General features: G+C 44.0%; 1 annotated feature.

The window, feature by feature from the left end:
* Nucleotides 4,887-5,388: an enhancer, noted in NCBI's record as "H3K27ac-H3K4me1 hESC enhancer chr2:67739-68240 (GRCh37/hg19 assembly coordinates)". NCBI's record gives its function as "activates a minimal SCP1, AML or CMV promoter by ChIP-STARR-seq in primed H9 embryonic stem cells {active_cell/tissue: H9 hESC(primed)}" and the evidence as "EXISTENCE:reporter gene assay evidence [ECO:0000049][PMID:30033119]".

Here is a 26,621-nt window from a genome sequence, read left to right as displayed (position 1 = left end):
TGGTGTTATTCTATTACTACGTAGGAGAATTGGATGGAGTATCCTTTTTTAACGAAATTGTTTACTGTCAAAGAGAAACAACACCAGACACATGTTAAAGGTAGCAAGACAGATTTTATTTAGACTACTGCAAAAGGGGAAAGAGACTCCAGGAAACACCGAGCTCAACCCCAGCTAAGATGAAGGTAACTGGGGTTTCTAAATGGACAACAGAGAGGAACCAATACGGGGCCATGAGGAAGTGAGAAAGGGGGAACAAAAAAAGGGGTTGGGGTACAATGGGGAACCAAAAGAGAGGGCTGTGTGGAATAGAAAATGATGGAGGGAGTGAACGGAAGATTATTAAAAACATTTATGGTTGTGGGTTGGGACTGAGTACATTTTGCAGTTTCGCAGCGTTGGATTTGTTGAGTGGACTCATTATGGCGGGGTCGCTTAGGGGACACAGCCGAGAACAGTTCTGGAAGCATGGCTGAGGTATGGTCGAATCTCTCAGCAGTGTTTAGGCAAGGCCTTGGCTCTTCAAGGAAGTTCAGAGTTCATATTACAAATACCAGAGTATATGGATGCAGGTTGTATTAGTTTTCTACTGTTTCTGTAATAAATTACCACGTACTTTGTCACTTAAAGGAACACAAACGTATTATCTGAGAGCTCTGGAGGTCAGAAGTCCAAAAGGGTCCACAGGACTGCATTCCTTCTGAGGCTCTGGGAAGAATCTCCCAGTGGGCCTCTTCCAGCTTCTAGAGACTGCCCAAATTTCCTGGCTCACAGCCTCTCCTCCATCATCAAAGCCACTACCATGGTATCCTTTCTCTTCTCTGACCTCCGCTTTTATCCTGACATCTCCTTCTGACTCTGACCCTCCTGCCATCCTCTTGTGAGGACTCATGTGATGATGTTGAGGCCACCCAACAACCCAGGGTGATCTCCCATCTCAAGGTTCTTAATCACATCTGCAAGTCTCTTTTGCCATATGAGGTGACATATTCTTAAGCTCCAGGGAATAGGATGTGGGCATCTTTGAGGGGCTATTATCCTGCCTACAATAATGATTAACAAAAAAAGCAAGTGGTGACTTCTGAAGTGTAGTTATACGTAGACAAGATCTTAACCACAGCGTGTCAGGATTCTTTATCCTTACCTCAAATATCTATGATTGAGAAGGAGGGTGTTCTAAGTTGTTCATTTGGCAGTCTTTCTAGCTCCTACAATAGAAAGAATTCTGAAGAGTGTACCTGAAGCTACTGCACAGGTATGCCTCTCTCTACAAAGAACATTCTGTGGAAGGATTTGCAGACCTCAGAGAAGCTTATGGTTTTTATGATTCATCCTATGATGAATCATCTCAGGATAATTGTCCTCTAGTCTATTTTGGATTCTTTATGTTTTTATATTGTTAAAGTACATGTATCAGCTATCTATTCACCCAATAATGCTGCAAAATAGACTACCTCAAAACCCAGTGGCTTAAAACAATTATAATCTAAGATTGCACTCTACTGTCTGTTCAGCTGGTAATGGGCTCACTCAGGTGTCTGTGGTCAGCCTCAGATTGGGTGGAAGCTCTGCGATCCTGCTGGGATCACTACTTGGTTGGGAGTCAGCTGTCTGCAGACTTGTCTGCTATGATCTTGGCTAAGACAGCTGGCTGTGCTCCATGTGGTGCTCACATGCACATGCCTCTCCCATCCCTTGATTAAGTTAGTCTGGGCATGTTCTCAGGATTGCAGAGAAGCAAGAGAGGCAACACAAACCTACGAGAGCTTCCTCAGGCCTCTGCTTGATCCAAGTCTGCTAACGTCCTTCTGGCCACCATGAGTCTTATGACCAAGCTGAGCTTCAGGGTAGGGAAGGGGCCTTCAACTCTTAAATGAGAGGAATTGCAAAACCACAGGGCAATGGGCACAGGTACAGTGAGACCTGCAGGACTGCACCATGGATGCAGACGTTCCTCCACAGTACACATTCTTAGTTTCTCTAGAAATTAAAATGGCTGGCAAGGAGTTTCCTCATGCATTATTTAACTCTTATCTTCTCTAGTAGGGAGAATAATTCTCATTGATTGACGTGGCTCCTTCACAGTGCATGGATGCAAGTTTCTCACCATGGAGCCCAAGGGAACCCTACAGCACGAGAGATGGAGTTTTAAGAACAAAAGTAAGTGCTCATCTGCACAACTGGAATATCAATTGATTACTTTAGAAAATCTTCCTATAGACTTTCTTGGAAAACAATGTAGTTGGTGAGTAGTGGAGTTCAAGGACTCCAAGCTACCACACAGGTAAAGTTCTCTCCTAAATACCACTGTGGAGATTGCCAGAAATGTGCTGCCTATACCCTTAGCTGCTTTCAAACACACTTGCTAGCTTAGGAATCTCAAGGTTTCAGAATCGAGGGAAAGAAGATAGCTGAAAATAAAGGGAGAAAGCAAAGAAACTACCAACTATATCAGAAACTTTTCCACATATGGTCCTTGTCAATCCCTATAGAACCATGTGGGGAAAGTCCAATCATCTGAACGGTACTGATGAAGAGTTATTAAGTTTCATCAGTCCGTTTAACAAGTAAGTGACAGGGCCAGGCTTTAGCCCGAGACCATCGGCTTTAAAACCATTGTCTTTTCCAAAACCTTGCATTAATTCATAATCAGAGCCTGCTATATGTGGTCAGAAATTACAGCCAATGCATCCATGTGGCTACTTCTCCATGGTCTGTCAATGTCTAGATTGCCCAGAAAAAATTAGCTCAAAGCCAATAAACTTCCTTCTAAAGTACAAAATAAATTATTACATTGTAATGATTTCTAAAAATACACCTTTTATAGGTAATTTATTAATTAGGTTCCTGTTTAATTAATAACCAGTTCTTAGTCGTTGGTTTTGGAAACTTCCTAGTCCTTTTGATTCAGAGGGGACTGCAGTGTTTCTTACATGTGACACCATTAAGCTCCCGCTAAATCACACAGGCTGCGTGTCACTCAACCACCCACAGTAAATACGCCAAGCCATCGCCCTTTTCCCAATAGTGCCTTCATTTATTGGAAAAGCCATGGGCAAAACAATTAGGTTTGTTGATGTAGGTCCTTAGGCTCCAGAAACCTCATCTGTCCTGTCAGAACAAGTTCAGGTAACGTATGACTGCCAACTGCCTATATAAATCACATTTATTGAAGATTAACATGCACACAATGCCTTTAAAGTTTTATAGAGAGAATTACAAACATGTGACTGCAGTTTGACACCAATGTTTTCCTCCACCTGGGTTAAAATGTCACCATTTGAAGTGTTAAGATTAAGAACACCAGGTTCCTGTGAAGAAGGAACAATTGTGCTACTTTATCATTTTGACCAGCTTCCCATAATTTTCCTAAGGAGTCTTTGTGTGTGGACCAAAGATTTGGCTTGCTTCGGTGCCCACTGGGTAACCATGAGATAATGTTTCCACACGAGGAGCTTCTTGGACTGCCCCTCATAGGGCCCAAAGCAACCTCAGGCAGGTGTGTGGGATCTCCACTCTCCAGTGGCCCTGGCCCTGCTGAGGGCAGGTGCCTCCGGAGCCCTGACTTCCGCACAATCCTGGTGTTTTCTGTTCCGGGGAAAATGACTCAGCAGCTTCTTTTGTACCAGGAAGTCTCTTTTCCCTTTTTTTTTTTTTTTTTCTGATGAACTTCAAAGGTGCCTTGGGGTAATTACGTGAAAGAGAATAGAAAGCTAGTGAAAGTTCAGAAAAAGTGATGGGAGTGATTCAAAGTGCTAAGTAAATAATAAAACAAAAAAAGTTAAAGGAAATTATTAAAAGGAAGTGTTTTCTCATTATTATTGTAATACATTTTTATAAAGGGGAAAATGATCAGTTTTTCCATGAGTTTGTGAAAATTAACAAGAAGAATCAGGCTTAAATTAAAGCAGAGATATTTTGGTCAGCTGGAGAAAGGAATGCTGATATTTTCACCATTAAGATGAGTTACAATGATGTTTCTCTCTGTTGTGAGCAATGCAGACATAAAATACAGAAAATGTAGCCACCATTCATATTTATTAATAAAAATTTAATAAATATTTCATCTCTTTTCAACTTTTTTAAACACTAAAAAAGGCATTTTGTTGAGTTATGTTGTTCTTTTTGGACAAGGTCCTCTGAGTCAGAGTTTTGCAGGACGTTCATTGCTGTTCTGTGTGTGACACATGGGTGAGAAGGAGTTTTGCTGGACATTCATTGCTGTTCTCTGTGTGTGACACACGGGTGAGTGGGAGTTTTACAGGACATACATTGGTGTTCTCTGTGTGACACACAGGTGAGAAGGAGTTTTACAGGATGTTCATTGGTGTTCTCTGTGTGACACATGGGTGAGAAGGAGTTTTGCTGGACATTCATTGCTGTTCTCTGTGTGTGACACACGGGTGAGTGGGAGTTTTACAGGACATACATTGGTGTTCTGTGTGTGACACACGGGTGAGAAGGAGTTTTACAGGACGTTCATTGGTGTTCTCTGTGTGTGACACAGGGGTGAGTGGCATTTTTGCAGGATGTTCATTGCTGTTCTCTGTGTGTGACACACAGGTGAGCGGGAGTTTTGCAGGACGTTCATTGCTGTTCTTTGTGTGACACACAGATGAGCGGGAGTTTTGCAGGACATTCATTGGTGTTCTCTGTGTGTGACACGCACGGGTGAGCGGGAGTTTTACAGGACGTTCTTTGGTGTTCTGTGTGTGACACAGGGGTGAGTGGCATTTTTGCAGGATGTTCATTGCTGTTCTCTGTGTGTGACACACAGGTGAGCGGGAGTTTTGCAGGACGTTCATTGCTGTTCTCTGTGTGTGACACACAGGTGAGCGGGAGTTTTGCAGGACGTTCATTGCTGTTCTTTGTGTGACACACAGGTGAGCGGGAGTTTTGCAGGACGTTCATTGCTGTTCTCCGTGTGTGACACATGGGTGAGCGGGAGTTTTGCAGGACGTTCATTGCTGTTCTTTGTGTGACACACAGGTGAGCGGGAGTTTTGCAGGACGTTCATTGCTGTTCTCTGTGTGTGACACACGGGTGAGCGGGAGTTTTGCAGGACGTTCATTGCTGTTCTGTGTGTGACCAGGGGTGAGTGGCATTTTTGCAGGACGTTCATTGCTGTTCTCTGTGTGTGACACACGGGTGAGCGGAAGTTTTGCAGGACGTTCATTGCTGTTCTTTGTGTGACACACAGGTGAGCGGGAGTTTTGCAGGACGTTCATTGCTGTTCTCCGTGTGTGACACATGGGTGAGCGGGAGTTTTGCAGGACGTTCATTGCTGTCCTGTGCGTGACACAGGGGTGAGCGGGAGTTTTGCAGCACGTTCATTGGTGTTCTCTGCGTGACACACGGGTGAGCGGGAGTTTTACAGGACGTTCATTGGTGTTCTGTGTGTGACCAGGGGTGAGTGGCATTTTTGCAGGACGTTCATTGCTGTTCTCTGTGTGTGACACACGGGTGAGCGGAAGTTTTGCAGGACGTTCATTGCTGTTCTTTGTGTGACACACAGGTGAGCGGGAGTTTTGCAGGACGTTCATTGCTGTTCTCTGTGTGTGACATGCACGGGTGAGCGGGAGTTTTGCAGCCGTTCATTGGTGTTCTCTGCGTGACTCACGGGTGAGCGGGAGTTTTGCAGGATGTTCAGTGGTGTTGTGTATGTGACACAGGGGTGAGCGGGAGTTTTGCAGGACGTTCATTGCTGTTCTGTGTGTGACACACGGGTGAGCGGGAGTTTTGCAGGACATTCATTGGTGTTCTGTGTGTGACACACGGGTGAGCGGGAGTTTTACAGGATGTACACTGGTGTTCTGTGTGTGACACACGGGTGAGAAGGAGTTTTACAGGACGTTCATTGGTGTTCTCTGTGTGTGACACAGGGGTGAGTGGCATTTTTGCAAGATGTTCATTGCTGTTCTCTGTGTGTGACACACGGGTGAGCGGGAGTTTTGCAGGACGTTCATTGCTGTTCTTTGTGTGACACACAGGTGAGCGGGAGTTTTGCAGGACGGTCATTGGTGTTCTCTGTGTGTGACACGCACGGGTGAGCGGGAGTTTTGCAGCACGTTCATTGGTGTTCTGTGTGTGACACACAGGTGAGCGGGAGTTTTACAGGACGTTCATTGGTTTTCAGTGTGACACATGGGTGAGCGGGAGCTTTGCAGGACATTCGTTGCTGTTCTGTGTGTGACACACGGGTGAGCGGGAGCTTTGGAGGATGTTCATTGGTGTTCTGTTCGTGACACTGGTGAGCAGGAGTTTTGCAGGACGTTCATTGGTGTTCTGTGTGTGACACACGGGTAAGCGGGAGTTTTCAGGATGTTCATTGCTGTTCTTTGTGTGACACACGGGTGAGCAGGAATTCTGCTCTGTAATAACCTTAAGAGGTTATGTTGCAAACAAAATTAAATGGATTTCTTTAGTGTAGAAAATCTTCCTTCTTCAAAACACCAATATGAGATTTTAATCACAAAGAGGACATTTTAAGAAGAAGTTTCCCAAACTTATCTGCAGGCAGGACCCATTTTCTGGGTCCTCAATATCTCCCACAACAGAGTCCTGCAGACCACTTGGGAAAACATCCCTCTGCCTGCAGTCTGAGGTTTTAGCATGAGACCCCTTAAGAGCTTTAAATAACACTTTTATTTAAGACCCAATAATTCTACCCCTGTTTAATTTGGCGCCCAGTTATTTTGTCACTCTTCGAATTAAGTATCTTTGGTATACCCTGGTTCCTCTAATTTCCAGCTTCAACCTCGCCTGGCCCCCAAGGCCCAAGCTGACCTTGCTCTGTCACCTTCAGCTGCTATTACTCTCCACAACCTGCCCTGGGGCCTCTGTCTACTTTGTCAGATTTACTCTACAAGAAACACTAACTTCTGCACCTAGCAAAGCAGGCATTCAGCAAATTTCAGAGCACATAGTGTGAAAAACAATAGAAAAAGAATTTATATATAGCGACTGCACCTTGAGAAAATGCCTTAACCAAATCCAAGAACTCTCTGTAGTTAGTTGTGAAAACCCTGAAGCAAGAACCAAGTATTACAGAGGAGACTGCACAGGGCAAGGCCCATGGCACACTCCAGGGAATTTCTGTTTCTTAGAAGAAATGACATCCAAACAAAAACAATGCCCTCACCCATCCTGGGAGGGGCAGTTAGAGAACCCAGCACACAGAAGGAACTCCTGTCTGATGCTCGTTTCTACCTCATGTCATCTTGGTGTGTTTTGTATACCACAGCAGTCTGTGTCTCTCTCACTGAAGGCACTTTCTGATAGTCTCAACACAGCCCTTTATTCTCCTTATAAAGCCTCCAAGCTAAAGAAACGACTTGCAGGGTGCTCTACACAGCACCTGGGCTGCCGTAGACAGCTGCTATAGTTAAAACTGTCTTGCAGAATGAATCAAATAAGCTCAGCGGATCTTCAGTGATCAGTGGATTGTCTTAACCAGGCTTAATTGTGTCAGCTTATGTTTCATGTTCTATCATTCTCAAAATGCAGTCACATAATTCTGTCTGAAATCACAGGGATCTAATATTCTCGATAACCTAAGAAGGCAAGTGCTGCAGATGAGCAATTTCCACCTGGAATTTCAAAATATTGAACAATTAATAGATTTCTAATATTACTTTTGTGGATCTCAAATATCCTGGAAACTCAGGTGCGAAGTCCCTCTTTAGTAGGTGTCCTATTCTTCACAAACTGACTCACAGAAGCAGCCCTCAGCCTCCTCCCACAGTGGCCTCACAAGCTCTTCGCCTCACTGTTGGTGGTGCAGCTCTCCTTTACCAGGCTTGCAGTGGGTTCATGCTGTTTCTTTGTGCTCCTCCCCCACTGTCTTCCTCTTTCCCCTGGTTCGATCCAGAGATGTAAAGTTCATGTAACTTGAAGGTCTGCGTAGGACAGTTGATTGTTGAGAGGCTTGCCACCCTTACAAGAGCAGGTGAGCCACACAGAGCTGAGCAAATACCAGCACATCAGAGTCTGGTCAGAAAGCTGCATTGGGATTTTTGCTTTAAGAAAGCTTTTCTGTAAATTTCTTTAGCAAAGGAGTGTGTTTTTCCTGAGTATTAGAGAGTTATAAGATACAACAACTCTCAAACCTGCCAGTGATTTCTTTGCAAGTCATAAAAATAGAGCCAAACAGACCTGAGGTCCTACATAGGTCTACCTCCTCAATTTAAAAATGGGGAAATTGAGCCCAGTAAAAGTTAACTAACCTACACAAAGCCACACAGCTGGTTAGAACTGGCAGTATAACTAGAGTGGCCATACAGATGATCATCCAAACTAGGATACTTTTGAGAGTGAAGGCCAGGCATGGTGGCTCACGCCTGCAATCCCAACACTTTGGGAGGCCTAGACAGGCTGATCACCGGATGTCAGGAGTTTGAGACCAGCCTGGCCAAAGTGGTGAAACCCATTTTGAAAATACAAAAATTAACCGGACGTGGTGGTGAACGCCTGTAATCCCAGCTACTCGGGATGCTGAAGCACGAGAATTGCTTGAACCCAGGAGGCAGAGGTTTCAGTGAGCTGAGATCACACCACTGCACTCCAGCCTGGGAGACAGAGTGAGACTCTGTCTCAAAAAAAAAAAAAAATACTCACTTCAGGATAACAGACATAAACTGGGACTGTCCCAGGAAAACAAGGATATGTCATCCTCCTAACTCTAATCAGACCTTCTGCATCTTAGAGTCAGCCTACCTTAACACCAATTAGTAGAAATAGTTATAAGTACTTTTGTACAATGATGGGTATTAAAAATGAAAATGGCTTTTGATGGAAAAATAATTTTTATTACAGTTCACAGCTGACAAAATATTTCAGTGTTTATGCAATTTACTGTAGTAAGTCTAGAATCCATTCTTCATTTGCAAACTAATATTTTGCATTAACATAACTAGAACAAAACAACGCAATTAAATAAAGGTCAATTTTCAAATCCCTCAGCTTAAATTTAAAAAGGCAAAGAACTCATCCATCAAGAATTAGAATTGAATAATTTTGAAAGAAACTTTTAATTTAGCTTTCACATTAGATTCACAGATTTGCCATTATCTGTATGTGGAAGGAGATGTCAAGTTCACAAATAAAAATATAAACACTATAATTAAATTTTTGATTATGGAATGAAACTAAAACATGAAAACATATTGTTATGATCAAAATCTGGGTAATGCATTTTAATACATTTCATTTAAAGAAGTAGCTGAAAAGCAGAGATGTTAATAATTTACCAAGAAAATACAAATATAAATCAATTGACAAACTTCTCTGGGTTACCTAATGTCAGGTACTCTGCTAGTTGTTGGGAATTCAAATATGGAAGAGTAAAGGTTCTGGTTTTGTGGGACTTGTATATAATGTGGTGGGAAAAATATTGCATAAAGCTTTAAAAACAATACACCTGATAGTACCACACAGGCTATCAGTTTCCTGTGAGTGGGGCTGCTGGACAACTTTCAGATGGAAAGAAAGAGTAGGCAAGGTGGAGAAGGGGTGAAGTAGAGCTGCAGGGGTGTGTGGATGGAAGCAGGCATCACGGAGGATGGGGTTAACACAGCTTTGAAACTTCGATGTGAAAGGGCTTAGGCTAAACAAAGAAATGGTTTTGGCACCACGAGGCCCTGTGTATTTCCACCCTTAGAACTTTCTGTATACATAGGTATCATGGGCAGTATTTTTTTACTCATCCTGGGAGGGGCAGTTAGAGAACCCAGCACACAGAAGGAATTCCTGTCTGATGGTGATTTCTACCTCATGTCATCTTGGTGTGTTTTGTATACCACAGCAGCCTGTGTCTCTCACTGAGGGCGTTTTCTGATAGTCTCAACACAGCGCTTTATTCTCCTTATAAAGCCTCCAAGCTAAAGAAACAACTTGCAGTGTGCTCTACACAGCACCTGGGCAGCTGTAGACACCTGCTATAGTTAAAACTGTCTTGCAGAATGAATCGAATAAGCTCAGCTTATTCGATTCATTATAATTTCTCATTATAAATGTGTCACATTTATAATGAGAAAAAAAGCTAATCTTTAAAATTAATCACAAGATATACACATAATTTTTAGTCTCTTCTACTGGGTAGATATTAAACCATTTCTCCCAAATTGGTTTCGTCTTTTTTTTTTAACAGTATTTGTGAAATATTTAAAGAAACTCCATATCAAAGCTTACTTAATAGGGTCAGCCTCTGGCACTGATGGTCTTCAGACTATGGAAAGGCATTTGGAGTAATTTTTATCTGATATTTCTGGCCATTAGGATAGAAGCCAGGACTGGCCACAGTGGTTCATGGCTGTAATCTCAGCCCTTTGGGAGGCTGAGGTGGGAGGACCACTTGAGGCCAGGAGTTTGAGACCTGCCTGGGCAACATAGTGAGATGCTGTCTCTATGGAAAACAGAATGGAAGCCATTAGGTTTATTTATTTATTTATTTTTAGTTAGTATGTAATAATTGTACATGTTTATGAGATACAGAGTGATTTTTTCATTGCAACCTCTGCCTCCTGGGTTCAAACAATTGTCCTGCCTCAGCCTCCTGAGTAGCTAGGATTTCAGGCACCTGCCAAGCCCTGCTAATTTTTGTATTTTTAGTAGAGATGGGGTTTTGCCATTTTGACCAGGCTGGTCTCAAACTCCTGACCTCAGGTGATCCACCCACCTCAGCCTCCCAAAGTGCTGGGATTATAGGCATGAGCCACCATGCCTGGCCCAGAGTGGTATTTTGATATATGTGTATGCACAATGATCAAATCAGGGTAATTGGTACCTCACACATTTATTTATTTATTTATTTATTTATTTATTTATTTATTTATTTATTGGTTGATTGATTGATTGAGACAGAGTCTGGCTTTGTTGCCCAGGCTGGAGTGCAGTGGCATGATCTCGGCTCACTGCAACCTCCACCTCCTGGGCACAAGCGATCCTCCCATCTCAGCCTCCTGAGTATCTGGGACTACAGGTGCTTGCCACCACACCCAGCTAATTTTTGTATTTTTTGTAGAGATTGGATTTTGCCATGTTGTCCAGGCTGGACTCTAACTACTGAGCTCAAGCAATCCACCCGCCTCAGCCCTCCAAAATGCTGGGATTACAGGCATGAGCCACGTCATCTGGCAATTTATCATTTCTTGGTACTGAGAACACTCAAAATTCTCTTTTCTAGCGTTTGAATATATACAATAAATTATGGTTAACTATAGTCACTCTGCAATGCTATAGAACATTAGAGTTTATTCCTCCTATCTAGCTGTAATTTTATATCTGTTAATCAACCTCTCTCTAACCTCCCCCACTACCTGTCTCGGCCCCTAATAACCACAGTTCTACTGTCTACTTCTATAGGATCAGCTTTTTTAGCTACCAATATGAGTGAGATCATGTGGTGTTTCTAGAATTCCCTCTTTGTCTTTCACTTTTGACTGTTTGACTATAATGTGCCTCAGAAAGGACTTTTTTAGATTAAATCTATGTGGGTGTCTTGAGCTTACTGTATCTGAATGTCCCTATCACTATGGACCCTGTGGAACTAGCATAATTTCCAATTATTTCATTAGATAATTTTATTTCTTGTCCCATCTCTTTTCCTTCTGGAACTCTCATAATGCAAAAACATTTTTACTTAATGGCATCCCATGTGTCACATAGGCTTACTTCATTCTTTTTTCTTTATTTTTCTCTGACTTCTGTATTTTAATATACCTGTCTTCAGTCGCCCAGGCTGGAGTGCAGTGGTGCGATCTCGGCTCACTGCAAGCTCTGCCTCCCAGGTTCACACCATTCTCCTGCCTCAGCCTCCCAAGTAGCTGGGACTACTGGCGCCCACCACCACGCCCAGCTAATTTTTTGTATTTTTAGTAGAGAAGGGGTTTCACCATGCTAGCCAGGACGGTCTCAATCTCCTGACCTCATGATCTGCCCGTCTCGGCCTCCCAAAGTGCTGGGATTACAGGCATGAGCCACCACGCTCGGCCTCAGAAATTATTTTTTTGCCTTGATCTACTCTATTGTTGAAGCCCTCAACTGCATCTTTTCTTTATTCATTGAATTCTTCAGTCCCAAAATTTCTGGGTTTTTGATGATATTGACCTCTGTTGAATTTCTTATTCAGATTATAAATTGTTTTCCTGATTTTATTTTCCTGAATTTGTTTTCCTGAATTGTCTGTCTTTGCCTTCCTGCATCTCACTGAGTTCCCTTAAGATCATTATTTTGAAATATTTTTCAGGCATTTCATGGCTTTCCTTTACTTTGTGGTCTGTTGCTAGATAACTATTGTGTTCTTTTGAAGATGTCACGTTTCTTTGCTTTTCCATGTTTCCTGCATCCCTATGTTGATTTCTGTGCATCTGATGGAAGAGTTGCTTTTTCCAATCTTAAGAAGTATATTTCGTACGGAAAGACATTTTCCTGTAGATGTATCCTTTGGAGTCAGTTGATTATGGTGCTTTGGCTTTGGTTCTGGGTGGACACAGTCATGTAGTCTGTGTATGATTTATTTTGATGTAATCAACATCAGCAGTGTCTGTGAGTGTCTCAGTGGCTTAAGTTGTGGTTGTTTTTGGAGGCTATGGCATGGCTTTGCTGGGGACAGGGATTCCAGGCAGGCTGGTCTTTGAGCTCTTGGGCATCATGTATGGATGCATGATGGCTCCACCACTAGAAGGGACAGAGTCACTGGTAGGGGTGGTGGCAGGCCACAGGCAGCCAGTCCTTGGGTCCTTCCATGGTGCAAGTGAGCACGTGGCAGTCCTGCACTGGAGGAGCAAGGGCACCAGCAGGGGCAGCACAAGCCCTGAGCAGGTGGCTCCCAGGCCATGGGGAACATGCATGGTGGCTCCCTCTGTCCTGGGGTCAGCCTCCCTGCTGTGCTGAACCACCTGTTCCTTGAGATGCAGGGCAATGTGTGAGCTTGGGTGCCGAGGTCACAGCTGCGGTGCTAGATCCAGCTGCTGTGGTGACATTGCAGCCCTTCAGGTAGATGTTGGAAGGTTATCACCTGGGCCCCAGGGATAAGGAATTGCAGGAACTATTGGTTCCATGGTGATATGGTTTGGCTGAGTTGCCACCCATACAAATCTCACCTTGAATTGTAATAATCCCCACATGTTAAGGGCAGGGTCAAGTGGAGATAATTGAATCAGGGGGGCAGTTTCCCCATACTGTTCTTGTGGTAGTTTTACAGAATCTTTGGGGTGTTGCTTTTTCACACCTGAAATATTTCCTCGTTCATGGTCCCATTTCATCTTTGGGGTCCCTTTTAGGGTCTTCCAATGGTACTGCTATTATTCCAATTGGATAAGGCTCCTTCTCTTCCCTGGCCCTATATGAGATATAAAGCTCATCCTCAAAATTCTCTGCCACTTACAGGGTGTCCTGCTTTTCAGCAGTGGTGAGGGTTTGATTCAAAAGGAACCTGACATCTTTCTAGGAGAGCTCAAATACTTGGGTTATGTTCTGGAAAGCCTCTATATACATGTCAGGGCTGTCTGAAAACTTGCCAAAATCCCTTTTAATTTGCCTTAAGTCCTGTAAAGAAAAGAAGACCTGGACTTTAATGGGGCCATATTCACCAGGCATCTGTTGTAGGGGCAGGAGTGAGAGTGGGACCTGCCTAATCTGAGGATTCCTAGGTGGAAGTGAGTTTGCAAGAGAACTTAGATAGAGAGGAATGGAGGGAGTCAATTCACTGGCTGGAGGTACCTCTGGGGTTTGCTTCCCTATTTCCCTGGAATTTCCCCTTGTGACCTCTCCTGAGATGGTTGCTAAGAGGGTTGAATCAATCCTGCAACAGAGGCAAATGTCTGGATTATCCTGAAAGGCAAAGAAGGCCTGCACATATGGGACCTCAGACTACTGGCCCTTGTGTTTACAGAAAAGGCCCAGCTACAGTATGGTATGGAAATTAATGCTTCCTTCCTGAAGCCATGCTTCTTTTGTGTGCCTCAAGGTGCTTGGCATTACTCTGGCAACCAAGAAAATGACAAGAACATTTTTGCCACAAATTCACGTACAGGTACCAAGGCACACTTTGCTTCATTTGTGCTGCTCTTAAACTTTCATTTTATACTTTTGATGACTAAGCCAAATGCTCTTTCTACCCAATAATATATCTGGTTTGCAGCAACATCCATAACATTTAACATTGTATGTGAAGAAGAGATATGAACCTTGACAGCTGTGAAAGAAAGAAAGAACAATAGGAAAGACTGGAGATCCTAGTGCCAACACCCTAACAGGCAGTCAGGGTTTAGAGTTAGTCCAGGGGCCTTTGGATAACACCAAGGGGTAGCCTCAGCCAGATACCCTTAGTTGTTCAGGACCTCCTTCCAGTCCCACATGATGGCTAGACCTCCGTGAAGGGAAACCAGGTTGGAACAAAGTCAACATTCCCAACACCTGGGGGTGATGGGGGATTGACAGTTTCTTCCCCAGCAAGCCTGTCCTCCATGTCTTAAGTCTGGCAGCCACGCTAGTCACTTTTAACTGGCTGAGAGAGGCTTGGTATTTTTCTTTCATTTTGACTATTGTGGAGTTGCAGACTCCAAAATAAGGACAGAAAGAGCAGATCCACTTGTTCTCATCCTTCCACAGATCCTGGACCAGCCCCCAAAATGTTACAGGATCTCTGGGGTGTTGGTTTTTCTGGCCAGAAACCTCTGTGGCTAGTGGTGCCTTTGCCTGAATTCTTGTCCAGCATCCAGGAAGAATGAGGTATGAAGACAAGTGGAGGGTGAGTGAGACAAAGAGAAGCTTTATTGAGTGTGAGAACAGCTCAGAGGAGACCCACAGGTGGCAGCTCCTCTCTGCAGCCAGGTTGTGTCCAGCTCTCAGCAGAGGAGGCCCTGAAGTTGGTGGCTCCTCTATGCAGGCAGGCCATCCCATCGAGTGTTCAGCTCTCAGCAGAAAGGAAGCCCTGAAGAGGGTAGCTCCTCCCTGCAGCTGGTCATCCCATCATCTCTCCATTTTCTCCTCTGTTCTGGCTGAGCCTGGGGCTTTTATAGGTCTCAGAGGGAAGGAAGTGCATGCTGATTGGTTCATTGCAGCCGTGAGTAGGCCCAGAGAAGGCACCACAAGTTCCCACTGGTCTGCAGGACTGACAGCCTAGACCTCAGCCTTCAGGCCCTGGCTGGCCTGAAGGTGGGGCCCTGCCATGGACCTTCCCACTTCTGCGCAGGATCCTGTTTGCCTCCTGCCACCTTCCATGGTACCTGGGGTGCTCACACCAAGGGGTGCCTGCAGGCCAGCACTAAGCCACCCTCAGGCCCCCAGCCTCAGCTTCTCCCACTGTGCTTGTCAGCACCCAAAGTTCACAAAGGGCCAAGGTGGCAGGGCCCAAGCTTGCACACATCCAGCCAGGCTCTAACAGTGCCTGAGCTCAGCTCCAACACTGCTCCCAGATTGGAGCCTGCACCTGTAGCAGGGAGAGGCCAGGCAGTGGGAGCAGATACCCCTGAGCCTGTGGGGACAGGGGTTCTTCTCATTCCCGAGGGTGTAGACTACAGACTCCCAGGTCCTGTGCCTGGGAGGGTGGCTGCAGCTTCACCCAGGGAGCTCCCTCCCACCAGCTTGCAAGGGGTGGAGCTCCTGCTGGCTCCATGGAGCATGAAGCCCTGGCAGTGCCTCTGAGATTGGAGCAGGCACTAAGAGCGGGGAGAAGCCAGGCAGTGGGAGCAGGCATTTCTGAGCCTGTAGGGGACAGGGGACCCTCCCAGGCCAAGAGTACACATAGGCCCGGGCCTATAGCCCAGACTTTGGCAGCTGCAGCTGTGCAAGGGTAGGGTGCAGGGAGGGCTGCTGCCTCCTCCTGGCTTCCACAGGCTCTGTGGAGCATGCAGCCCCTGTGGTGCCCCCTCATAGCCTGGGGTGGGGGCTCCAGGTCCTCTCTGGGCCCAGGCCCACACCTGGGGAAGGGTGACATTGCCATGAGCTCCTCCCATTGCCCTGGCACTCAGGGACAGACCATGGTGGAGCAGATAATGGGCCCCAGGCCTGCCATCAGGTGTGTCAGGCTCACCAGTCACCCCTACATGGGGCAGATCCTGGGGATGTGGCCCAGGGCAGCCCTGCACAGAGCCTCCTCCTAAGGCCCAGGGACCAAGTATCCTTAGCGGGCTGGGCACAACTGCTGCATTCCTGACTGGTCCAAAAGTGGGCACTTCTCCCACTTCCCACCACAGCCCCTGAAGCCCAGCCCCAGCTCCACCTCCCCAGGCTGGCCCCAGCATTCCATGTACAAGCACTGTACCTTCCCAGGCCCAGCTCTGCCTCGAGACCCCTCTCTGACTGACTGTACTACTCCCCAACCAGCTGGAAACCCAGCCCTGCCCCATTGCAGCAGCCCCCAGAGCAGTGGGCTGTGGGGGTGGGATCCATCTGCCACCTCCCCATGCCCTTCCTGCAGCGGTGGGTGTGATGGCAGCTGCTGCACCAGACAGCCTGCTGCCGCCATCAGTAGTGAATAAGTCTCACAAGATCTGATGGTTTTATAAATGGGAGTTCCCCTGCACAAGCCCTCTTGCCTGCCACCATGTAAGACGTGACTTTGCTCCTTGTTCGCCTTCTTCCAGGATTGTGAGGCTTCCCCAGCCATGTGGAGCTGTAAGCTAATGAAACTGCTTTCCTTTATAAACTACCCAGTCTTGGGTATGTCTTTATTAGCAGCATGAAAACAAACTCATACACCTGGGCATGATGCACTCTGGTGGTGGCTGAGCTCTCAAAATTTGCCATGTTGCAGTAGCCTGGGTCCCAGGAATTGGGGTCAACCCAGCATGAATTTCCTCTCTGGAATAATGCAGTTGCAAGGACTCTAGGCAGCTCCTCATACTGGACTCAGGGCCTGTGAATGCTGTAGGGCACTCCTGCAGCCAGGATTGCAAATGTCTGTGGTATGAATGGACTGCTGGAGATCTCTTGTTCACCTTTTTCCTACCGTGAGTATTCCCTCTTGGCTTTCAACCAAAGCCAAGAACCAGATGGCTGCTTTGCTTCCATTCTATGCCACCGTCCTGAGTCTCCATGCCTCAGAGTGTCTTCGTCACTCCCTTACTGAATTCCAGTGTTCTCCCTTAGACATTCTGTTCAGTGTGTGGTTATCTGTTTCTTCTCTGTGGAAGAGTGAGTGCTGGGTTCCTCTAGTCAGTCATCTTGATGACATCCTCAGTAGTGGTTTTATTTTAATATAGCTTTATACTCAGCAGTGAGAGCTCATCTGTCCAGTATTACTCATGATTTGGTTTCTAATCTCTACTCATTACTACTTCTAAAGTGCACTGAACAAGACAATTATGTGTTCCCACAGTGGATGATGTTTACTTTCGTAGTATGTGAGAGGCTTTATAATAATAGTTACACTTGAGCATATTTTTTTACATGCTTGAACTGCCCATATCAGCACCAGTGTCAACTTCACCTGGATTGGGAGGGAAACTTACTAAATATGCATGGGCATTTTATATTCAAAGTTTATTCTTCTTAAAAAATAGAAAAAGAATAAATATAAAAGACAAGAATACCCTCTGGAAATTTGATGTTTCACCTGTAAAAGATTTCCCTAAAGTCTTTACCCAGAGTTGTTTTGACCAAATGATGATGATAAGATTGAATACTATAGAAAATAACCTATATGTGGTGGTCCATTTTCAATTATAAGTGACTTAATGTAGGTTTAAACAGACTACAAAGGAATAAAGAAGCAGAATGTACTAAGTCACCACCCCCTTCTTGCTTTCCCTTTCAACCAGTGGCCAGGCACCTATCAGTCAGGGCCCACTTAACCACCCCCTCCCACCCCACCAAAAAATTTAGTTTAGGCAAGCTTGCAGCATCGGTAATTGTACTCTTTCTTAGCAGTTAGGTGCAGCCACTAGGACCATAGGTCAAATGTTTAAAAAGTCCTGAGACAGTCACAATGCATTATGGGCGGCAATAAAATGCAGCAGAAAGACCCTAAAAAACACACTTGAAGCCTTAACACAACTACCAATAGGCAGTGTCCAGGAAGATTGTAACCCCCATATACTCAGCCAATGAGGAACTGGGGGAGGGACTTGCACACTAGGGAATAAATTGCTTGTTAAAACTGTTCAGGGTGTGCCTCTGCATGCCAAACACTTGATCTCGTGAAACCGCCATTAAAGTCTCGCTTCTGCTGTTCTCCCTGTCCCTGAGTCCATTCTTTGAGTTTGGACGGGCAAGCGTGTTTCTTGCAGATGCCATTGTGATTTTTTCCTGTGGGCTTGCTGTAACATAAACTAGTGAGGTTTCAGTGGTTGGATTTCACCTATTTTGATAGATTTTTTTTCTTAATTGATTTAATTACTACATTTAGAAAACAACTTGGTTTACTCTTATGCTGCAAAATGTAGTTTAATCTTAATTTTAGTGGCATATTTTCTACAGTCAATTATATCTTATCTTAACAAAAGCCAAATCTCAGTATCCTCTTTTCATTTTAAATACCCTCCTTTGAATTTTTTCTTATGGGGTCTGTTAAGACTAACCCAGACGGTGTGTGTGGAGATGAGAAAGAGGACTATTTATGGTTTGTTTTATTTTGTTCATAGACAAACTGAACTCTATTGCACTATTTTCTCTCTGGAATTAATAGTCCTCTTTCAGCATCTAAATATTATCCGCTTCCACCTCCAGAAGTACTTTAACCAATCAGCCATCTCCTCTTCCATATGCACATTCAGTACGGGTTCTTTCCTTTTGTTTACAATATGTGCAGCTCTCACCAACCAAAGTAGCTTCTGTCTTGTGGCCACCTTTTCAGGTTATTTTGCATACATATTTTTCCTCCCTCAAATCCTTGGAAAATGACCTTACTCTTATATGTTTCAGTACTTCACCACCTATCCTCTAATTAACTCAGCATAAACCAGCTTCTATACCTGTCGCTCAACTGAAACCACACCATGGGATATTCACCATGGTAGAGCCTCCAGAGATGAGCTACTCATCCTCATGTCTCTGTAATGGTTGTCATGTTTGATCACCTTTTCTCCTTCTTGGATGCCACCTCAGCTGAATTCTCCTGAGCCTTCCCCTAGCATGGGGCTGCTGTAGTGTAGACAGATAGTTGTCTCTAAGCCATTTTTTATGATCGTTTACCTTTCCCCTACTGACTTAAATGCTCCCTATATTATATATAATTTGAGGCTATTTTTTAACTGACTTTTTGTCTATCTCTGCAACACTATCATACTTTGTTACTATAATTTTATAACAAATCTTAGATAGCTGTTTTGCAAAAAAAGTTTCCTTCTTGTTTTCATTTTTTTTTCAAAATTTTCTTAACTATTTTTGGACATTTATTACTTTTAAAAAATTTTAATAATATATTTAATTTAAATCAGTATATATGAAATACCATTTCTTCAATATAAAATGTAACACACAACATCTTAACTCAGACTCTCCACATTTCAAAGGCTTAATAGCAACATGTGGTCAACGGTTACCATATTACACAATGCATTGCACCTTTACTCTTGCAAATAATTTTTTGAAATTTTTGTCAAGTTCTATGAAGAAAAAAGTTGGAATTTTGTTTCTTGAACTCCTGGTCTCAAGCGATCCTCCTGCCTCAGTCTCCCAAAGTGCTCAGATTAAGATATGAGCCATTGCACCCAGCCTAGGGTTTTGTCTCTAATTGCATTGAGTTCCTCTTTAAAAAAAATTTAAGACGATTCACATCATTACAATGTTGATTCTGACTATCCTTGAATGTGGCACATCTATTTATTTATCTCTTCATTTATATCTGTCAAAATATTTTATAATATTCTATAAGCATGTCTTGTGTCTTTTTGAGATGTATTACCAGATTCCATATGGATTTTCTTAGTATTATGTCTTGATTATTTTTCCTGGTACATTTTTAAATTGATTATTGCTAGTGTTTATGAATATTCTTTATCTTTGCATGTGTTCTTTGTCCAACAATCTTGTTGAAATGTCTTGTTAGTTCTAATACTATGTCCAGTCTCTTGGAGGTTTGAAATAGTCAATTACATTGCCTGTTATAAGGGGAATTTTGCCTCTTTGTTTCCCCCAGTCTTTATACTCTGTAGTTATTTTTTTCTCTATTTACTGGCTAGAAAGCCCAGTACATTTGACTAACATGGACAATAATGTGTATCCTTATGTTGTTACTATCTTTATAGAATGCTTTAAAAATCCACCACTAAGTATGGTGCTGAAGGTAAGGATAGAGCCCCTTTAACAATTTTAGGAATTTCTCTCCTGTTCCTAGTTTTCTATCAGTTGACAAATTTGAAAGTATGGAGTCGAACACTTGGCACCTAATATGGACTCAGTAATGTTTCTTTAATGAATAAATGAGAAAAAACTCAATGTGTGCTTGCCTGTCATTTTTCCCTGTACTTACACAGTTTTAATATTTATTCTTATAATATATACCAATAATTCTTAAACATTTTATTCTCAACACCTCTTTAACACTCTTAAAAGTTATTGAAGGTCTTAATAAGCTTTGGTTTAATGGCTTATATCTATTAATATCTACTATATTAAAATATAAGTTGATCAATACTTTTTAATTTTTTTTTTACTTTTTTTAAGAGATGCGGGTCTTGCTATATTGCTCAGGCTGGTCTCAAACTTCTGGCCTCAAATAATTCACCTGCCTTAGCCTCTGTATTCATCTATTCTCACATTGCTATAAAGAAATACCTGAGACTAGGTAATTTCTAAAGAAAAGAAGTTTGATTGGCTCAAGTTCTGCAGACTATGCATGAAGCATGGCAGCATTTGCTTCTGGGGAGGGCTCAGGGAGCTTTTACTGATGGCAGAGGACAAAGTGGGAGCAGGTATCTTACATGGCAGTAGCAGGACCGAGAAAGAGAGTGGGGGAAGTGCCCCACACTTTTAAGCAACCAGATCTCGTGAGAACTTCCTCACTATACAGTACCAAGTGGGGACGGCGCTAAACCATTCATGAGAACTCCGCCCTCATGATCCAGTCACTTCCCACCAGGCCCCACCTCCAACACTGGGGATTACAATTTTACATGAGATTTGATGGGGACACAGATCCAAACCATATCGGCCTCCCAAAGTGCTAGGACCACAGGCATGAGCTGCCAAATCTGGCCTGATAAATGTTTTGAATGCACACATTATTAGCTCTAAATATTCTGGCATTTCAGCAGTCACTAGGTTCTTGATAACTCCACTATATACTCATAAGAAATGGAGAAAGAAAAGACAATTCAATTCTTAGTCTTGTAACCATGGTAACAACTTAAGCCAATTTACCATTGCATAAGTTGTTATAGGTAGCACAGAGCCAAAACTGCAAGTCATGTATCCCGGGCATGTGCAATGAAAAAGATTTAACCTAACTCTTTACACCACTAGCCCGGCAGGCCAGCTGCATTGGCATCACCTGGGACTACTTAGAAATGCCATAAAAGCTTTACCCACCCCAAGATCAGGGAGACAGATCTGAGTGTTGCCTTCTGTCTCCTTGCCAGTCAACTCACAGTAAAGCTTTATCTTTTCTCAAAAGCCAGAGCCATAGTATTTATATCAGTCTGTTTTTGCATCACTATAAAGAAACACCCGAGGCTGAGTAATTATAAAGAAAAGAGGTCTAATTGGCTCATGGTTCTGCATTCCATACAAGCATGGCACCAACATCTTCTCTGCTTGTGGTGAGGGCAAGAAGTTTACAATCATGGTGGAAGGTGAAACAGGAGCAGGCTTGTCACATGGTGAAGGCAGGAGCAAGAGAGAGAGGGGAGGGATGTCCCAGATTTTTAAACAACCAGATCTCCATGAACTGACTGAGCAAGAACTCATTCATCACCAAGAGGACAGGGCTAACCATTCATAAGGGATCTACCCCTACTGTCAAATCCCTCCCACCAGGCCCCACCTCCAAAGTTGGCAAGCACATTTCAACATGAGATTTGGAATTGACAAACATCCAAACTATGTTAGCACTAGTTCTATGGACTTTGGGCATGAAGCCTGTTGCTTGGTATCAATGAAAGTAATTTTGACCTCATAGACCTCCCAAAAAGATATCAGGAGCCCCCACATTCCCTGGACTGTATGCTGAGGACTGCTTCTATATTCATGCTATTTTTAAAATTTCATACACATCACAATCACTTCCCACTCTGAAAAACACTCTGGAAGCATGACTGTAAATGGATGCATAATACTCCACCCACAGGTAAGTCATACATCCTCCAGCCTTCCTCCTGTACTTGCATGTAGGTTGACCTCCCCCATTTGACTGCAATGAATATCTTCATGCGGTGCACACATCTCTTATCTGTTCCTTAGAATACATTCCTGGGAGTAGAGTTCCTAGATTATTGAGTCCTTAAGCATTTTTTCCTGCTCTGACCAAGTCTTTTGAAGTGATTCTAGAAAGGAAATGGACACAAAGATGACACTATCAGTTGAGCAACAAGAACAACTTATTTAGATAATTCTCATCAATATTATATTTATCAGTTCCATTTTTCTAGTAAATTATTTGCTTAATACATGAAATATCATGAATATAAATATAATTAGTTTTGTCTAATAGCAGTAAGTCTTAAATACAATGTTATAGTAGTTTTACTTTTTTTTTAAATTTAGGTTCAGTGAGTACATGTGCAGGTTTGTTACATGGGTAGATTGTGGGTCACTGATGCTTGGTGTACAAATGATCCCATCACTAGGATAGTGAGCATAGTACCCACAGATAGCCTTCCAACCTATGCCCTCTCCTCACCCTCCCACGATCAAGCAGTCCCCAGTATCTATTGTTCCGTTCTCTGTGTCTATATGTACTCAATGTTTAGCTCCCACTTATATGTGGGATCTGGTTTTCTCTTCCTGAATTAGTTTGCTTAGGATAATGGCCTCTAGCTAAATGCATGTTGCTGCAAAGGACATGATTTCACTCTTTTTTAATGGCTGCATAGTATTCTATGGTGTATATGTAGCACATTTTCTTTACCCAGTCCACCACTGATGGGCATCTTCATTGATTCCATGTCTTTGTTATTATGAATAGTGCTGCAATGACTACATGCATGCATATGTCTTTTTGTTAGAATGATTTATTTTCTTTTGGGTCCATACCCAATAGTGGGATTTTTGGGTGGAATGATAGTTCTAAGCTCTTGAGAAATCTCCACACCGCTTTCCACAGTGGCTGTACTAATTTACATTCTCATCAGCAGTGTATAAGTGTTCCCTTTTCTGTGTAGCCCTGCCAGCATCTGTTATCTTTTGACTTTTAAGTAATAGCCTTTCTTACTGGTGTGAGATGATACTTCATGGTGGTTTTGATTTGCATTTCTCTAATGATTAGTGATGGTAAACTTTTTATATATATTTGTTGGCCACTTGTATGTCCTCTTTTGAGAAGTGTCTGTTCATGTCCTTTGCCTATTTTTTAATAGGGTTTTTGGGTTTTGCTTGCTGATTTGTTCAAATTCCTTGTAGATTCCAGATATTAAGACTTCGTTGGATTTTCTTCCAGTTAGTAGGCTATTTACTCTGTTGATAGTTGCTTTTACTGTGCAGAAGCACTTTAGTTTAATTATGTCCCACTTGTCAATTTCTGCTTTTGTTTCAATTGCTTTTGGGGACTTATACATTCTTTGCCAAGGCCAGCGTTCAAAATTGTGTTTGCTTTATAAGCAATCTCATTAACTTTAATAAATACTCTATCAGGTGGGTCTAATGAGCTCCCATTTACAGATGAGTGATCACAGTCAGTGAGAGGTGGAATGTTCCAGCCTCTCCAGGAGGTAGAATTGAGCAGGGAGCTAAGCCTAGGTCTTTTAGGTTAACATTTATTTAGTGCTCACTATGAAGCAATGAATGTTCTAAGCTATAAAAACAGCGATTTTTTTGGGAGGGGGCTAAAATTTCACTTTTTATTCTGTTACAAGAATCAAAAGAAAAAGAGTATAAATCTATGTTAATGCGTATCCAATATATAAAGATCTAATTTGTGACACCAATAAGATAAGTGGGAGCAGGGAGGAGCTGTAAGGAGGTAGAATTTCTGTATGTGATTAAAGTTATCAGCTTAAAATATGTTTATTTGATTTTAAGTTCTGGGGTACATGTTCAGGATGTGCAGATTTATTATATAGGTAAACATATGTCATGGTGGTTTGCTGCACCTATCATCCCATCACCTAAGTATTAAGCCTAGCATGCATTAGCTATTTTTCCTGATGCTCTCTCTCCCCCTCTGTCTCCCCACCTCCCACCAGGCCCCAGTGTGTGTTGTTGCCCTCCCTGTGTCCATGTGTTCTCATTGTTCGTCTCCCGCTTATAAGTGAGAACATGTGGTGTTTGGTTTTCTGTTCCTGTGTTAGTTTGCTGAAGATAATGGCTTCCAGCTCCATCCATGTCCCTGCAAAGTACATGATCTCATTATTTTTTATGGATGCATAGTATTCCATGGTGTATATGTATCACATTTTCTTTGTCCAGTCTATAATGGGCCTTTGGGTTGATTCTACATCTTTGCCATTGTGAGTAGTGCTGCAGTGAACATATGTGTGCATGTATCTTCATAAGACAATAATTTGTATTTCTTTGGGTGTATACTCAGTAATGGTATTGCTGGGTCAAATGATATTTCTGGTTCTAGGTCTTTGAGTAATTGTCACACTGTCTTCCACAGTAGTTGAACTAATTTACATTCCCATCAATGTGTGAAAACGTTCCTATTTGTCTGCAGCCTCTCTAGCATCTGTTGTTTCTTGACTTTTTATAACAGCCATTCTGACTTGCGTGAGATGGTATTTCATTGGCTTTGATTTGCATCTCTCTAATGATCTATGATGTTGAGCTTTTTTCATATGTTTGTTGGCCACATAAATGTCTTCCTTTGAGAAGTGTCTGTTCATGTCCTTTGTCCGCTTTTTAATGGGATTGTCTTTTCTTGTAAATTTAAAACAGAAATTTTTACAGGTGACAAAACAACCTGGAACGTTTGTTACCTGTCCAAAGGTAAATTGTGGACCCAGGGTCAAATTCCAGAGGTCCTGTACTTTGCAGTTCTCTGTCTTAGAAGTGCTGCTGTTGCCCATGAAGTAGTGCAAATTAGGAAAAGAAGACACTTTGGGCTACACAATTAAAAAGGTTTTTTCCTCTGACTTAGGGAACAGGCTTGCCAAGCAGAGAGCAGGCTGGACTTTAGACCTCAAGGCCCCATCCTCCCGCATCCTGTAGGAAACCATCTGTGGCAACCCAGGAGCTCCCCCTTTCTCCATCTCTGTCCCTCTCTTTCACTCCCCACCCCCGCATCCTTCCTTCTCTTCTCCCACTCTCTACTTTATTGGCCTAGACTCCTTTTCCTATGAGTCTTACATGTTCCAACGAGGCTGTCTGGGCGGTCTGGCTTTCAGGAGGCGATTTATTGTTGTGCTACTATCCCTATGAAATTTTGCTTCGCTGGGGCTCAAGGAGATTAAAGACCCCCAAGGCCCACTCAGCACCACCCTGCTGCGGTCCTCTTCCTCGTTGGTGAGGTGTTCGTGCCCACTTTGGGGGCCCATCTGCACCTGTCGCCCTCCCTGCCTTCCGGGCTGCTGCTGCTCGGAGCGTTCAACCACAAGGCTGAAAGCACAGCCTGTTACGGAGTTGTCTTCACAACGCGATAACGTGAACATTTCACATGTCTGAGAGATAACTTTAGTATTTTGTCCAAATTTTTGAAATAATGGAGTTTGGGAAGTATTTTATCTTAGACTCTTAGCATTCCTAGGCTGATCCACTGCCTGGTGAACTCGTGGTTTCCCCGTTGCCTCGGTTACCGTAAAAATAGCAATGATTCTGGACACTTGGCTGGGCTTCTTCCAAATCCACTGAGCCGCGCCTGGGGCCCCAGCCTGCCCCACTGAGAGTCCTAGCTCGGTCCTCGGGCCCGGCCACGCCCGCTGCCGGCCAGCGACCGAGTCGGACCCAATCCGAGGCCCTGCGTTCTTGCCACCCAACACGTAGGCTGATCCTGGCGTGCGCTGCGTGTTCTTTCCTCTTATGTCCTATTCCTTTCTGTTAATAAGAATATGAGCTCAGGTAGACAAAATTAAACAGTCAAGTTTCCAAACACGATGAGGTCACTTTAAGAATTCAAAGGATGTGAGGCACCTGCCCGGGGGAGGTGGGGGGACGTCCCCTCTGCTCCCCCTCCCCGGAAATGCCTGCGTCCAGCAGTGACCTCGGGGATCTGGGGCTGAGCGAGTGGGGGTTCAGAGCCTGCTCGCCCCAGCGTCCTCCAGGCGGTTGGCAGCGCCGCCGGAAGGTGAGGGGGGGCGGGGACGGCACCGGGCAGGAGGTGAGGGCCGGGACCCCGGACGCGAGGTGAGGGCGGGCGCTGGCACCCGGAGAGCGGCCAGGGAGGCGGGCCCGGGCGGGAGTGAGGAGGCGGGGACGGGCGGGGACGAGCGGGGATGCGGGGACGCGGCCAGGGCCGGGGCACCGGGCGGGGGCGGGGGCGGTGCCAGTCGGTGTGGGCGATGAGGTCGGGAGGGGCGGGAACTGGGGAGTTTCGCCAATCGGTGCAGACTCCGGTTCTCCCCAACCCCGGGCCTGGGCAGCTGGGC

This window comes from Homo sapiens, chromosome 2, assembly GCF_000001405.40.
Source record: "Homo sapiens chromosome 2, GRCh38.p14 Primary Assembly".
Classification (NCBI taxonomy): domain Eukaryota; kingdom Metazoa; phylum Chordata; class Mammalia; order Primates; family Hominidae; genus Homo; species Homo sapiens.
This window is presented reverse-complemented; position numbering and strand designations above follow the sequence as displayed.